Source organism: Homo sapiens, chromosome 11 (genome assembly GCF_000001405.40).
Source record: "Homo sapiens chromosome 11, GRCh38.p14 Primary Assembly".
NCBI lineage: Eukaryota > Metazoa > Chordata > Mammalia > Primates > Hominidae > Homo > Homo sapiens.
In genome coordinates this window covers 91,475,806-91,491,917 of record NC_000011.10, presented here as the reverse complement: position 1 = coordinate 91,491,917, position 16,112 = coordinate 91,475,806, and the positions used below count along the sequence as shown (strand labels likewise).

At 36.8% G+C, this 16,112-nt stretch overlaps 1 annotated feature.

Moving 5' to 3' along the window:
- Positions 2,059-3,258: an enhancer, noted in NCBI's record as "MED14-independent group 3 enhancer chr11:91221826-91223025 (GRCh37/hg19 assembly coordinates)". NCBI's record gives its function as "activates an origin of replication core promoter dependent on BRD2, BRD4, P300/CBP and CDK7 cofactors, and independent of MED14, by STARR-seq in HCT116 cells {active_cell/tissue: HCT116}" and the evidence as "EXISTENCE:reporter gene assay evidence [ECO:0000049][PMID:35650434]".

Sequence of the window (16,112 nt, the reverse complement as noted above, 5' to 3'; positions counted from 1 at the left end):
GAAAATCAATCTAGCTCTTGTTTTTTTCACTCGAAGAAAAACATACACACAAAAATGTCATATATGTATGTTTGTGTCAGTAACTGCATCATGGGAAAATGGCAGTGAGATGCTAGCATAGGAGTTGCTCATTTCAAACATCATTTTGGCTTCAGTATGTTGAATAATTTGGCAAGGAGCAAATCAAAATGCAGAGGGACCAGAGAGAATGCATAAGCAATAAGTAGTTCGTGCAAGAGCTGACTACAGTGGTGGCAGTTAGTGGCTCATAACTTTGAAGTGGAAAGAAGCAGGTACATTTGAAAGATGTCTGGGTTGTAGAAGTCATTTTGCTTGGTGGTTGATAGGGTGTAGGGTATAAGGAAGGTTTAAAATATGACTTCAGTATATCTGACTTGAGGTTTATAAAGGTCAGTTGAAGTCATTTACATATAAAGTTTAATGTATTATCTATTAATTTAAACTTACTAGCCTGAATATTCAAATTTTTTATTATCACTTATTTTTTGTCTACTTCTTTGGACAAAATCAAGATGTATTCAAGACTCTGTTTCTTTTTTCTTTGTTATTTAGGGAGCAATATTTCATTTTGTAACTTTCATTTATTATAAATAATACTCTGATTTTTACCAAATTTTCTAAATTGTTAAAAATCAATGCTTTTTTTTCTCTTTTCCCCTATTTGCAAAAGAAAAAGATGTGCTAGGTATTTCTTTGATGCATTATTGTTTTTATCATTTATTATGAGAATCTTTGTCATTTACCAATAACATTTTAAAGAAATATATTTTGGTTTTAACACGTTTTATTTTACTTTAGTTAAATATTTGTACTCTTCATATTTTTCTATAATTTTTAATAAAAAGCATGCTTTTTTATATTTTCACAGGGATTTTTGAACTTATCAAGAGTTTTCTTTGTTTTCAAAACATTGTTGAATCTATATTCTCTGATTGTCAAAATAAGAAAATAATATATATATTCTTATTCTTCCTCAAAGATGAGAAATTAATATATTCTACACTGGTGATGGCAAACATAGGCTGATTAGTAATATCACCTCAGAAGCTTTTAAAAATCCTCACGCCCTGGCCATACCCCCTATCAATTAAATCACACATTTGAGAGTGGAAGCCAGGAATCCACATTAAAAAAAAAAAAAAAGAGAGAGAGAGAGAGAGAGAGAATTAGATCATCATGGCAGACCGGAGGCAGGACTAGATTGCAGCTCCTGACAGGGCAGTATCATGCGGAGGTTCTCATTGTGATTTTTATCTCCAGATTGACTGCAAGAACAAACCAGCAATCCCGAAAGGACCCACAAACCCTCTGAAGGAATTGGATGGCTCCTGGAGGACCTAGAAGACATCTCAAATACTGTGAGTGCACTATCTACAGAGGTGGGTAAGGGAGAGCCTCCTCTCCCGAACACACACCCTTATTGGAGAAACTGAAGGTTTGTTTGTGGGAGAAGTTTCCTACCTTACCTAAGAGCTGAGTCAATTTAGAAAGCCAAGTGAATTCAGGGGTAGAGGAAGGAGCAGAAAGAGGAAGGAGCTTGCTGGGTTCCCAAGCAGGCCATTTCTGCCTGGCACCACAGGAATCTATCGAGGAGCAGAGGGCTGGGGCGGGGGTGGGGTAAAACTCCACAGGGAGAAGGAATTCTCTAGCTGAACTGTGTGACAATTTGAAAGGGATGAGAAACCTCCTGGCCAGAACTTGCGGGAAGGCGCGCAAATCTGGTATGCAGACTCCACAGGTTGGGGAAGAACCAAGCCCTTTTCTTTCACAGCTGGGAGGTGGCTAGCCTGGAGCAGGTTTTCAAGCCCCATTCACCCACCATCTGGAAACAGGCTCAGGGCTGTTAGGAGGGGGCTTGGTGGGAGTGAGACCAGCCCTTTGGATTGCATGGGAGCTGGGTGAGGCCTGTGACTGTCAGCTTTCCCCCACTTCCCTGACAACCTGCATGACTCAGCAGAGGCAGCTATAATCCTCCGAGGTACACAACTCTAGTGACCTGGGAACCTCACCCACATCCCCCACAGCAGCCCTAGTAAGACCCGCCCAAGAAGAGTGTGAGCTCAGACACACCTAGCCCTGCCTCAACCTGATGGTCCTTCCCTACTTACCCTGAGTAGGGAACATAATCTTCGAAGTTCTAGGACCCCACCTACCAGTGGTTCCTTTTCATACTACCACAGCTGATGCTCTCTGGATAGCACCACCTCCTGGCAGGAGGCCAATCAGCACAAAAATAGAGTATTAAACCACCAAAGCTAAGATCTCTCATAGAGTTTATTGCACCCCCCTGCCACCTCCACTGGAACAGGTGCTGGCATCCACAGCTGAGAGACCCATAGATGGTTCACGTCATAGGACCCTGTGCAGACAACCCCCAATACCAGCTCAGAGCTGGGTAGACCTGCTGGGTGGGTAGACCCAGAAGAGAAATAGCAATTACTCCAGTTCATCTCATAGAAAGCCACATCCATAGGAAAAGGAGGAGAGTACTACATCAAGGGAATGTTGATATGAGTTCTAAATTTCTTTTCAAAGGATCAATATGTCAGTATGTTCAATTTTTTGCCTTCTACTTTTAAACTTAACTCCCTTATAAAGCAACCTTTTTCGATTACCTGCTCCAGCCTGACTCATTTTGATTACCTGCTCCACCCTGACTCATTCTGATTGCCTGCTCTACCCTGACTCATTCCAATTACCTGCTCTATCATAACAATTTTTCCTGCCAAACCACTCACCCCATTACTCTCTTTAAATTTAGCCAATCAGAATTCATTTAGCCTGTGTGGTCTAACCCTAGCCAATAGGGGAATGACACAGCAGGAGGGGCCACATGTGTTAGGGATAAGAACCCCTTCCCCTCCCTTGTCTAAGTGTGCACTCACCATTGCTCCATCTGTAAGGATGTACCCTTCTATAGAAGTAACTTGCCTTGCTGATAATTAAAAATAAAATTTTATATTCAAGTGCTATTTCTTTTGTGGCACCAAAACTTTATTTTATAACAGGAACACCCTGTGGGACAAAAGAATCCGAACAACAGCCTTCAGCCTCAGACCTTCCCTCTGACAGGGCCTAACCAAATGAGAAGGAACCAGAAAACCAACCCTGGTAATATGACAAAACAGGGCTCTTCAACACCCCCCCAAAATCACACTACTTCGCCAGCAATAGCTCCAAACTAAGAAGAAATCCCTGATTTACCTGAAAAAAAAAATTCAGGAGGTTAGTTATTAAGTTAATCAGGGAGGCACCAGAGATATGTGAAGCCCAACACAAGGAAATCCAAAAAACGCCACAAGAAGTGAAGGGAGAAATATTCAAGGAAATAAATAGCTTAAAGAAAAAATAACATAAAATTCAGGAAACGTTGAACACACTTATAGAAATGCAAAATGCTCTGGAAAGTCCCAGCAATAGAATTGAACAAGTAGAAAAAAGAAATTCAGAGCTCAATGACAAGGTCTTCGAACTAACCCAATCCAACAAAGACAAAAGAAAAAGAATAAGAAAATATGAACAAAGCATCCAAGAAGTCTGAGATTATGTTAAACGACCAAACCTAAGAATAATCGGTGTTCGTGAGGAAGAAGAGAATTCTAAAAGTTTGGAAAACATATCTGGGGGGATAATCGAGAAGAACTTCTCTGGCTTTGCTAGAGACATAGACATCCAAATACAAGAATCACAAAGAGCACCTAGGAAATTCTTTGCAAAAATATCATCGCCTAAACACATTTTCATCAGGTTATCCAAAGTTAAGATGAAGGAAAGAATCTTAAGAGCTGCAAGACCAGGGAGCCTATAAAGGAAATCCTATCAGATTAGCAGCAGATATCTCAGCAGAAACCCTACAAGCTAGAAGGGATTGAGGCCCTATCTTAAGGCTTCTCAAGCAAAACAATTATCAGCCAAGAAATTTGTATCCAGAAAAACTAAGCATCATATATGAAGGAAAGATACAGTCTTTTTGAGATAAACAAATGCTGAGAGAATTCACCACTACCAAGCCACCACTACAAGAACTGCTAAAAGGAGCTCTAAATCTTGAAACAAATCCTGGAAACACATCAAAACAGAACCTCTTTAAAGGATAAATCACGCAGGACTTATAAAACAAAAATTCAATTTAAAAAGCAAGAACATAAAACAAAACCAAAGTACACAGGCAACAAATAGCATGGTGAATGCAACAGTGCCTCACATTTTAATACTAACATTGAATGTAAAGGCCTAAATGCTCCACTTAAAAGATACAGAAACACAGAATGGATAAAAATTCACCAACTGACTATCTGCTGCCTTCAGGAGACTCACCTATCACATAAAGACTCACATAAAGTAAAGGGGTGAAAAAAGGCATTTCATGGAAATGGACACCAAAAGCGAGTGGGAGTAGCTATTCTTGTATCAGACAAAAAAAACTTCAAAGCAACATCAGTTAAAAGAGACAAAGAGGGACATTATGCAATGGTAAAAGGTCTTGTCCAACAGGAAAATATCACAATCCTAAACATAAATGCACCTAACACTGGAGCTCCCAAATTTATAAAACAATTACTAATAGACCTAAGAAATGAGATAGACAACAACCCAATAATAGTGGGGGACTTCAAGGATTTAAACTATGCCTTGCAACAAATGGACTTAACAGATATATACAGAACATTTTATCCAACAACCACAGAATACACATTCCATTCAACATCACATGGAACTTTCTCCAAGACAAACCATATAATAGACCATAAATGAGCCTCAGGGAATTTAAGAAAATTGAAATTAAATCAAGCACTCTCTCAGACCGCAGCAGAATGAAACTGGAAATCAACTCCAAAAGGAGGAACCTTCAAAATCCTGCAAATACATGGAAATTAAGCAACCTGCTCCTGAATGAGCATTGGGTCAAAAACAAAATCAAGATGGAAATTAAAAAATTATTTGAAGTGAGTAACAATAATGATAAAACCTACCAAAACCTCTGGGATACAGCAAAGGTGGTGCTAAGAGGAAAATTCATAGCCCTAAATGCCTACATCAAAAAGGCTGAAAGAGCACAAACTGACATTCGAAGGCCACACCTCAAAGAACTAGTAAAACAAGAACAAATCAAACCCAAACACAGCAGAATGTAGGATTAACCAACATCAGAGAAGAACTAAATGAAACTGAAACAAAAAGCTCAATAAAAAACTGAAATAAAAGGCTGGTCCTTTGAAAAGATAAATAAAATTGATAGACCGTTAGCAAGATTAACCAAGAAAAAAAGAGAGAAAATCCAAATAACCTCACTAAGAAATGAAACAGGAGATGTTATAACTGACACCACAAAAGATCATTCCAGACTACTATGAACACCGTTATGCATATAAATAAAAAAGCCTAGAAGAAATGGATAAATTCTGGAAAAATACAACCCTTCTAGCTTGAATCAGGAAGAATTAGATACCCTGAACAGACCAACAACTAGCAGCAAGATTGAAATGATAATTTAAAAATTACCAATTGGCCGGGTGCAGTGGCTCACGCCTGTAATCCCAGCACTTTGGGAGGCCGAGGCGGGCAGATCACGAGGTCAGGAGATCAAAACCATCCTGGCTAACATGGTGAAACCTTGTCTTTATTGAAAATACAAAAAATTAGCCGGGCGCAGTAGCGGGCACCTGCAGTCCCAGCTACTCGGGAGGCTGAGGCAGGAGAATGGCGCGAACATCCGAATGGAAGGCAGAGCTTGCAGTGAGCTGAGATCATGCCACTGCACTCCAGCCTGGCGGACAGAGCCAGGCTCCATCTCAAAAAAAAAAAAAAAAATTACCAACAAAAACATGTTCAGAACCAGACAGATTCACAGCAGAATTCTACCAGACATTCAAAGAATTGATACCCATCCTTTCTGACACTATTCCACAAGATAGAGAAAGAAGAAACCCTCCCTAATTAATTCTATGAAGCCAGCATCACCCTACTACCAAAACTAGGAAGAACATAACCAAAAAAGAAAACTACAGACTGATATCCTTGATGAACATTGATGCTAAAATCCTTAATGGAATACTAGCTAACCAAATCCAACAACATCAAAAAGATAATCCACCATGATCAAGTGGGTTTCATACCAGGGAAGCAGGGATGTTGTAACATCCACAAGTCAATAAATGTGATACACCACATAAAAAGAATAAAAAACAAAAATCGCATGATCATCTCAATACATGCAGAAGGAGCATTAGACAAAATCCAGCATCACTTTATGATTTAAACTCTCAGCAAAATCAGTATACAAGGGACATAATGTGATAAAAGCCATCTATGGCAAACCCACAGACAACCTAATACTGAATGGGGAAAACTTGAAAGCATTCCCTCTGAGAACTGGAACAAGACAAGGATACCCACTCTCACAACTCCTCTAGCCAGAGCAGTCAGACAATAGAAAGACATAAAGGTCATCCACATTGGTTAAAAGGACGTCAAACTGTCACTGTTTGTTGTCGATATGGTTGTTTACATTGAAAACCCTAAAGGCTCCTCCAGAAAGCTCCTAGAACTGATAAAAGAGTTCAGCAAAGTTTCTGGATACAAGATTAATGTAAACAAATCAGTAGCTCTTCCATACACCAACAGCGACCAAGCAGAGAATCAAATCAAGAACTCAACCCCGGCCAGGCACAGTGGCTCATCCCAGCACTTTGGGAGGCCAAGGTGAGCGGATCATGAGGTCAGGAAATCAAGACCATCCTGGCTAACACGGTGAAACCCTGTCTCTAATAAAAATACAAAAAAATTAGCCAGGCATGGTGGTGAGTGCCTGTAGTCCCAGCTACTTGGGAGGCTGAGGCAGGAGAATGGCGTGAACCTGGGAGGCGGAGCTTGCAGTGAGCTGAGATTGTGCCACTGCACTCCAGCCTGGGTGACAGAGCAAAACTCCATCTCAAAAAAAAAAAAAAAAAGAAAAAATACTTAGGAATATAGCTAACCAAGGAGTCAAAAGACCCCTACAAAGAAAACTACAAAACACTGCTGAAAGAAATCATAGATGACAAAAACAAATGAAAACACATCCCATGCTCATGGATAGGTAGAATCAATATTGTGAAAATGACCATACTGCCAAAAGCAATCTACTAATTCGATGCAATTCCCATCAAAATATTCACCATCATTCTTCACAGAATTAGAAAAAAACAATTCTAAAATTCATATGGAACCAAAAAAGAGCCCACCTAGCCAAAGCAAGACTAAGCAAAAAGAACAAATCTGGAGGCATCATGCTACCTGATATCACACTATGCTATAAGGCCCTAGTCACCAAAACAGCATGGTACTGGCATAAAAATAGACATATAGACCAATGGAACAGGATAGAGAACCCAGAAATAAACCCAAATAGGTATAGCCAACTGATCTTCAACAAAGCAAACAAAAACATAAAGTGAGGAAAGGACATCCTTTTCAACAAATGGTGCTGGGATAATTGGCTAGCTACATGTAGGAGAATGAAACTGGATAATCATTTGTCATCTTATACAAAAGTCAACTCAAGATGGATTAAGGACTTAAACCTAAGACCTGAAACTATAAAAATCCTAGAAGATAACGTTGGAAAAACCCTTCTAGACATTGGCTTAAGCAAGAATTTCATGACCAAGAACCCAAAAGCAAATGCAATAAAAACAAAGATAAATATCTGGGACCTAATTAAACTAAAGAGCTTTTGCATGGCAAAAGGAACAGTCATCAGAGTAAACAGGCAACCCACAGAGTGGGAGAATATTTTCACAATCTATACATCTGACAAAGGATTAATATCCAGAAACTAAAATGAACTCAAACAAATCAGTAAGAAAAAAAACAAACAATCCTATCAAAATGTGGGCTGAGGACATGAATAGACAATTCTCAAAAGAGAAGATATACAAATGGCCAACCAACATATGAACAAATGCTCAACATCACTAACGATCAGGGAAATGCAAATCAAAACCATAATGCGATATGACTTTACTCCTGCAAGAATGGCCATAATCAAAAAATCAAAAATCAGTAGATGTTGGCATGGATGTGGTGATCAGGGAACATTTCTATACTGCTGGTGGGAACATAAACTAGTATATCCACTATGGAAAACAGTGTACAGATTGCTTAAATAACTAAAAGTAGAACTACCATTTGATCCGGCAATCTCACTACTGGGTATCTACCCAGAGGAAAAGAAGTCATTATATGAAAAAGATACTTGCATATGCTTGTTTATAGCAGCATAATTCACAATTGCACAATTGTGGAGAGCCAACCCAAATGCCCATCAATCAACGAGTGGATAAAGAAACTATGGTATATATATATATATATGATGGAATACTACTCAGCCATAGAAAGGAATGAATTAACAGCATTTGCAGTGACCTGGATTAGACTAGAGACTATTATTCTAAGAGAAGTAACTCAGGAATGGAAAAAAAAATTGTATGTTCTCACTGATATGTGAGAGCTAAGCTTTATAGCTTAAGATGCAAAGGCTTAAGAATGACACAGTGGACTTTGGGGACTTGGGGGGAAGAGTGAGAGGGGGCGAGGGATAAAAGACTACAAATATGGTGTAGTGTATACTGCTTGGGTGACGGGTGCACCAAATTCTCACAAATCACCACTAAAGTACATACCCATGTAACCAAATACCACCTGTACCCCAATAACTTATTGAAAAAAATTAAAAATTTAAAAAAATAAGAAAAATAAATTCCTCAAGTGATTTCAATATTCTGCTATGAGAAGCATCAATTCCTCTTCTCTCTCAGGTTTCCTGCAGTCCTTTTCAAGGCATCTCACAAATCCAGTCTAAGTATTTTGTTTCAAATCTACTACAATAAGCTACTCCAAAATTTGGTATCTTAAATTGGTAATCATTTTATTCTATCTCAGTGTGCCATGGGTTAGGAATTTGGACCGTATTCAAGGGGGTGAATTTTTCATTACATGTAACATCGCAGACATGACATGGGGTTATTCTGCTGGCCATTGGCTGGTCTGGAGGATCCAGATGGCTTTACTCACACATCAGGGTGCTTGGCAGAAATGACTAAAAGGCTAGAGTCAACGGAAATTATATAACAGGGTATCTAATTGTGGCTTGTCTAGTGTATTTTTGTTATGTTTGTTTGGTATAAAACTGTAGAATATTCTTTACTGGAGACATTAAAATATTTTGCTATAATTTTAACAGACAAAAGCATAATTTTTATTTTTTATAGAAAATGCCCATTGAAATGAAATAGTTTTCACTTTTATACTCAGCTATTTTTGTTCTTATTTTCTAATTCTGGAATTTTTTTAAGTATGTCTTTTTTGCTACTTCTATGTGAAATATTCTGATTTCCCTCACATAAAGCCTTTTATTTTTAAAAATAAAACTTTAATTAAAATAAAACATACATAGGGTCACATGAATTATAAGCACACTGCAAGTTGAATTTTCAGAATGTGAATTACCCAAGAAAAAACGAAATATACATCCATACAAAGATGTGTACACACATGTTCATACCAGCTTTTTATTTTAAGTAATAGACCAAACTGGAAACTCTCCAAAGGTTTATCAGCAGATGAAAGTATAAACCACTGTGGTCCATACATACATACTATTATATTAATATAGTACTAATATACAAAATGCTAGTATATAATGTACCTAGTATACCTTGTACTATTTAGCAATAAAACTGAGGGGAGAGAGAGACCCTCTCATATTGTTTTATATTGTTTTATACTCAGTACCTGTTTTAGAAAAAACAACAAGGAAGTAAAACCAAAGACAGGCAGCCCGGTGCCAGGCCTGAATCCAGGCCTGGGCCTGCCTGGCCTAAACCCAGTAGTTAAAAATCAACTCATAACTTAGAAACTGATGTTATTCATAGATTCCAGACATTGTATAGAAGAACATTGTGAAACTCCCTGCCCTGTTCTGTTTCTCTCTGACCACCAGTACATGCAGCCCCTGTCACGTACCACCTGCTTGCTCAAATCAATCACGACCCCTTCATGTGAAATCTTTAGTGTTGTGAGCCCTTAAAAAGGACAGAAATTGTGCATTCGGGGAGCTCAGATTTTTAAGGCAGTAGCTTGCCAATGCTCCCAGCTGAATAAAGCCCCTCCTTCTACAACTCAGTGTCTGAGAGGTTTTGTCTGTGGCTCCTCCTGCTACAAAACAATAAAGTATTGATGCATGCAACAACATAGGTAAATCTTAATTATACTGAAGATAAGAATCTAGTCAGAAAAGAATACATACTCAATGATTACATTTACATAAAACTTTACAAAATGCAAATGATTCTCTATAGTGATGGAAAGAAAATCAGTAAATGCTTATCTTTAAAATGGAGGGGAAAAGTAGGAGAGAAGAGTACATTCACTAACTTGAGTGTAGTGATAGTCTCATTGGTCTGTACATATGTCAAAACTTATTAAGTGGTATGATTTAAATATTTACATTTGTTATAAGCTAGTTACACACCAATAAGTTTTGTTTTGAAATGTATGGATCTGTGTAATGTGCATCCAGATGAAGAAACAGAATGTTACCTATACCAGAGAAGTCCCCTTCATGTCTCCTCCCAGTCACTATCTTCCTGCAAATCACCAAGGTAACAGTATCTGGATTTCTAACCCCATAGATTAGTTACATCTATTTTTAAACTTTGTATAAATTTAATTATACAATATGTGCATTTTTCTGGTTTAATTTGAACAGCATTATGTTTGCGAGATTTATCTATGTGTTGGATTTGTTAATTCTTTTGACTGTTTTATTCAACCTTATTGGATTTTATTAAGAAAATTTATATGTCAGTTATCCTGTTGACATATGGCTATTATGAATCATGCTGCTATGAACATTCTTACACATGAATTTTGACGATTTTTCTCTTATATACATGTTGAGAAGTGAAATTGACGAGTGATAGTGTGTATATCACGTCAGATATGTATTTAAATATTTTAAAAGTACCAAATTGTTTTTCAAAGTGCTTATATTATTTTTATCCCAATCAATGGAGTTTGAGAGTTGAAGTTCCTCTATATCCTTACCAATACATGATCTGGTCAGTCTTTTTCACTTAAATTATTTTTGTGTTAGTCTTTGAATGCATTTTCATTCATCTTTTTTTTTCCTTTCTATTTTTTAAGCTTATTTTAGGTTTAACGATACATGAGTAGGTTTGTTATATAGATAAATTATACATCATGGGGGTTTGATATATTGATTATTTCATCACTCAGGTAATAAGCATATCAACTAATAGGTAGTTTTTCAGTCCTCACCCTCCACCCTTCACCCTCAAGTAGGCCCCAGTGTCTACCACTTCTTTCTTTGTGAACGTGTGTCCTCAATGTTTAGCTCTCACTTAAAAGTGAGAACATACAGTATTCTCTTTTATGGCTGTGTAGTATTCCATGGTGTACATATACCACATTTTCTTTATCCAGTCCACTACTGATGGGCATTTAGGTTGATTGCATGTCTTTGTTACTGTGAATAGTGCTTTGATAAACATATGCGTGCACGTCTTTATGGTAGAACAATTTCTATTTCTTTGACGATGTACAAATAATAGAATTACTGGATCAAATGGTAGCAGTTTAAGCCAAACTGCTTTGAACACTGGCTAATTCAGATTTCTACCAGCAGATATAAATATTCCCTTTTCTTTACAACTTCACCAGCACCTGTTATTTTTTGACTTTTTAATAATAACCATTCTGACTGCTGTGAGATGGCATCTCATTCTGTTTTTGATTTACGTTTCTCTTATGATCAGTGATGTTGAGCATTTTTTTGTAGGCTTGCCGGCCATGTGTATGTTTTCTTTTTAAAACTGTTTGTTTATGTCCTTTGCCCACTTTTTAATGGAGTTGTTTAATTCTTGCTTGGTTAATTTGTTTAAATTCCTTACAGATTCTGGATATTAGACCTTTTTTGGATGCAGAGTTTGCAAATATTTTCTCCTATTCTAAATATTATCTGTTTACTTTGTTAATAGTTTCTTTTGCTGGCAGAAGCTCGTTAATTTAATTAATCCCATTTGTTGATTTTTGTTCATATAGCAATTTCTTTTGAATCTTTGTCATGAAATCTTTGCTAGAGCCTATATCAGGAATATTTGTAGGTTTTCTTCTAGCATTTTTATAGTTATATGGTTCCATATGAATGTTAGATTTTTTTTCTAATTAAGTGAAAAATATCACTGATAGTTTGATAGGAATAGCATTGAATCTGTAAGTTGCTTTGGGAAGTATGGCCATTTTAAACATATTGATTCTTCCTATCCATTAGCATGGATTTTTTTTCCCATTTATTTCTGTCATCTCTTATTTTTTTCAACAGTGTCTTGTAATTTTCATTGTAAAAAATTTTCACCATCCTGATTAGCTGTATTTCTAGTTATTTTCATATGATTATTGTGGATGGGACTACATTCTTCATTTGTCTATCAGATTGGATGTTGTAGTGTATAGAAATTCTAATTTTTGTACATTGATTTTTGTATCCTGAAACTTTGCTGAAGTTGTTTATTAGATCTAGGAGCCTTTAGGCAAAGACTATGGGGTTTTCCAGGTATAAACTCATGTCATCTGCAAACAGAGATAGTTTGACTTCCTCTCTTCCTGTTTGAATGCCTTTTATTTATTTATCTTGCCTGATTGGTCTGGCTAGGACTTCCAGTAATATGTTGAATAGGAGTGGTGAGAGTGAGCATCCTTATCTTGTTCCAATTCTCAGGGGGAATGCTTCCAGCTGTTACTCATTCAGTATGATGCTGGCAGTGGGTTTGTTATAGATGGCTCATTATTTGAGGCATGTTCCTCAAAATGCCTAGTTTGTTGAGGTTTCTTTAACATAAAGGAATGTTGAATTTTATTGAAAGCATTTTCTATATCTATTGAGATGACCTTCTTTTGTTGTTGTTAGTTCTGCCTATGTGATAAATCACACTTATTGATTTGCATATGTTGAACCAACCTTGCATCCCAGGGATAAGGACTACAAGATCATGATGGATTCACTTTTAATGTGATTCTGGATTCAGTTTGCTAGTATTTTGTTGGGGATTTTTGTATCAACGTTCTTCAAGGATATTGCCCTAAGGTTTTAATTTTCTGTAGTGTCTCTGCCAGGTTTTGGTATCTAAATGATGCTAACCTTGTAGAATGAGTTAGGGAGGAGTCCCTCCTCCTCCATTTTTTGAATAGTATCAGTAGGATTGGTATCAACTTTTCTTTATACATCTGGTAGAATTTGTCTGTGAATCCATCTGGCACTGGACATTTTTCTGTCTGGTAGGCTGTTTATTATTAATTCAGTTTTGGAACTTGTTATTGATATGTTCAGAATTTCAGTTTCTTCCTGTTTTAATCTTGGGAGATTGTATGCTTCCAAGAATTTATCCAATTCTTACAGGTTTTCTAGTTTATGTGCATAGAGGTGTTCTAATAGTCTCTGAGGATTCTTTTGCATTTCTCTGGAGTCAGTGATGATGTTCCCTTTGTCATTTCTAATTGTGTTTATTTGGATCTTCTGTCTTTTTCTTTATTAGTCTAGCTAGCTGTCATAAATCTTATCTATTCTTTCAAAAAACCAAAGTCTGGTTTTGTTGATCTTCTGTATGTTTTTTTTTTGGCATCTCAATTTTACTCAATTCAGCTCTGATTTTGGTTATATCTTGTCTTCTAGCTTTGTAGTTGGTTTACAATTATTTTCCTAGTTTCTCTAGTGATGATGTTAGGTTGTTAATGTGAATCTTTCTTTTTTATATGAGTGTTTAGAACTATTAATATAAAGTTTTCTCTTAAGATTGTTTTAGCTGTATCCCAGAGATTCTGGTATGTTGTATCTTTGTTTTCATTAATTTCAAAAAAATTATTGATTTCTCCCTTAATTTTAATTTTATTGTTTATTAAAATGCCACTCAGGAGTAGGTTGTTTAATTTCCTTGTAATTTTACTGTTCTGAGTGATCTTCTTAGTATCGATTTCTATTTTTATAGTGCTGTAGTCCAAGGATGGGTCAGTATGATTTCTCTTTTTTTTTGTTAGTTTGCTGAGCATTGTTTAATGGCCAATTGCGTGGCAGACTTTAGAGTATGTGCCATGTACAGATGAGAAGAATATATAATCTGTTGTTTGAAGTAGAGAGTTCTGTAGATACCTGTTAGACAAATTTGTTCCAATGTCAAGTTCAGGTCTCAAATATCTCGTTAGTCTTCATCTAATACTGTCAGTGGGGTGTTGAAGTGTCCTACTATTATTGTGTGATTATCCAAGTCTCTTCAGAAGTCTCTAAGAACTTGTTTTATGAATCTGAGTGCTTTTGTGTTGTGTACATATATATTCAGGACAGTTAGGTCATCTGGTTGAATTGATTCCTTTACCATTATGTAACACCCTTCTTTGTCTTTTGTGGTCCTTGTTGGTTTAAAGTCTGTTTTGCTTGAAATTGAAATAGCAACCTCTACTTTTTTCTATTTTCCATTTGCTTCATAGATTTCTTTTTATCCCTTGACCCTGAGCCTATGGATGTTATTGCATATGACATGGATCGTTTGAAGACAGTATACCATTGGGTCTTCTTTTTTTTATCCAGCTTGTCACTCTGCCTTTTAAGTGGGGCATTTAGCCCATTTACATTCAAAGATAATATTGATATGTGCGGATTTTATCCTGTCATTGTGTTGTTAGTTGGTTATTATGCAGACTTGATTGAGTAGTTGCTTTGTAATGCCGATAGTCTATGTACTTAAGTTTGTTTTTGTAGTGGCTGGTAATAGTCTTTCCTTTCTGTGTTTAGCACTTTCCTAATGAACTTTTTTAAGGCAGGTAATTGATTTCATTAGCATTCGCTTGTCTGAAAAGGATCTTATTTCTTATTCACTCATAACGCTTAGTTTGGCAGAATATGAAATTTTAGATGGGAATTTCTTTTCATTAATAATGCTTTATAATAATGCTCCCAATCTCTTCTGGCTTGTAGAGTTTTTGCTGAAATGTCTGACATTAGCCTGGTGAATTTCCCTTTGTAGGTGAGCTGACCCTTTTCTCTAGCTGCCTTTAATATATTTTTTCTTTCATTTTGACCTTGGAAAATCTGACGACTATGTGTCTTGGGGGTGATCTTCTTGTATAGTATCTTGCAGGTGTCCTCTGCATTTCCTGAATTTGAATGTTATCTTCTTTAGCAGGGTTAGGGAAATTTTCATGGCTAATATGTTCAGTTATGTTTTCCAAGTTTCTTGCTTTGTAACCCTCCCTTTCAGGGACACCAATGAGTCATACATTTAGTCTCTTTGCATAATCCCATATTTCTCTGAGGTTTTTTTTTCATTCTTTTTTCTTTATTTTTTTCTTACTGAGTTCTTTCAGAGAACAAGTTTTTGAGCTCTGAGATTCCTTCCTCTGCTTGATTGATTCTGCTCTTAATATTTGCAATTTGTATTATAGAGTTTTTGAAGTGATTTTTCAGCTGTATTAGATCAGTTTTGTTCTTTCCTAAAATTGCCATTTTGCCTATCAACTCCTGTATTATTTTAATTGTATTCCTTAGATTACTGGAATTGAGTTTTGGCTTTCTCCTGAATCTCGACAATCTTTATCTGTATCCAGATTCTGAATTCTATGTCTGTCTTTTCAGCCACTTTAGCCTGATTAAGCACTATTGCCAGGGAAATAGTGTGGTCATTTGGAGGTAAGAAGGAGTTCAGGCTTTTTGAGTTGCCAGAGTTCTTGCACTGGTTCTTTCTCATCTATATGGGCTAATTTTCCTTTAATTTTTGAAGTTTATGCCTCCTGAGTAGAGTTTTTTCCTTTTCTATTCTTTGACCCTTTTTAGGATTTGATTGTGGTGTAAGTTGGGTCCAGTTAACTGGCTTCATTTCTGGAAGATTTCAGAGGGGCAAGGCTCAACTCAGCACTCTTGGGCTGGATGCTTTAACTCTGCAGGACTTGTACTAGATACTCAGCTTTGTTCTCTGGCCCCCCAGGGTTAGAAACCTGCTGTGCTGGAGGGGCTGGGGTGTTCGCAGTCCACAGGCAACAAC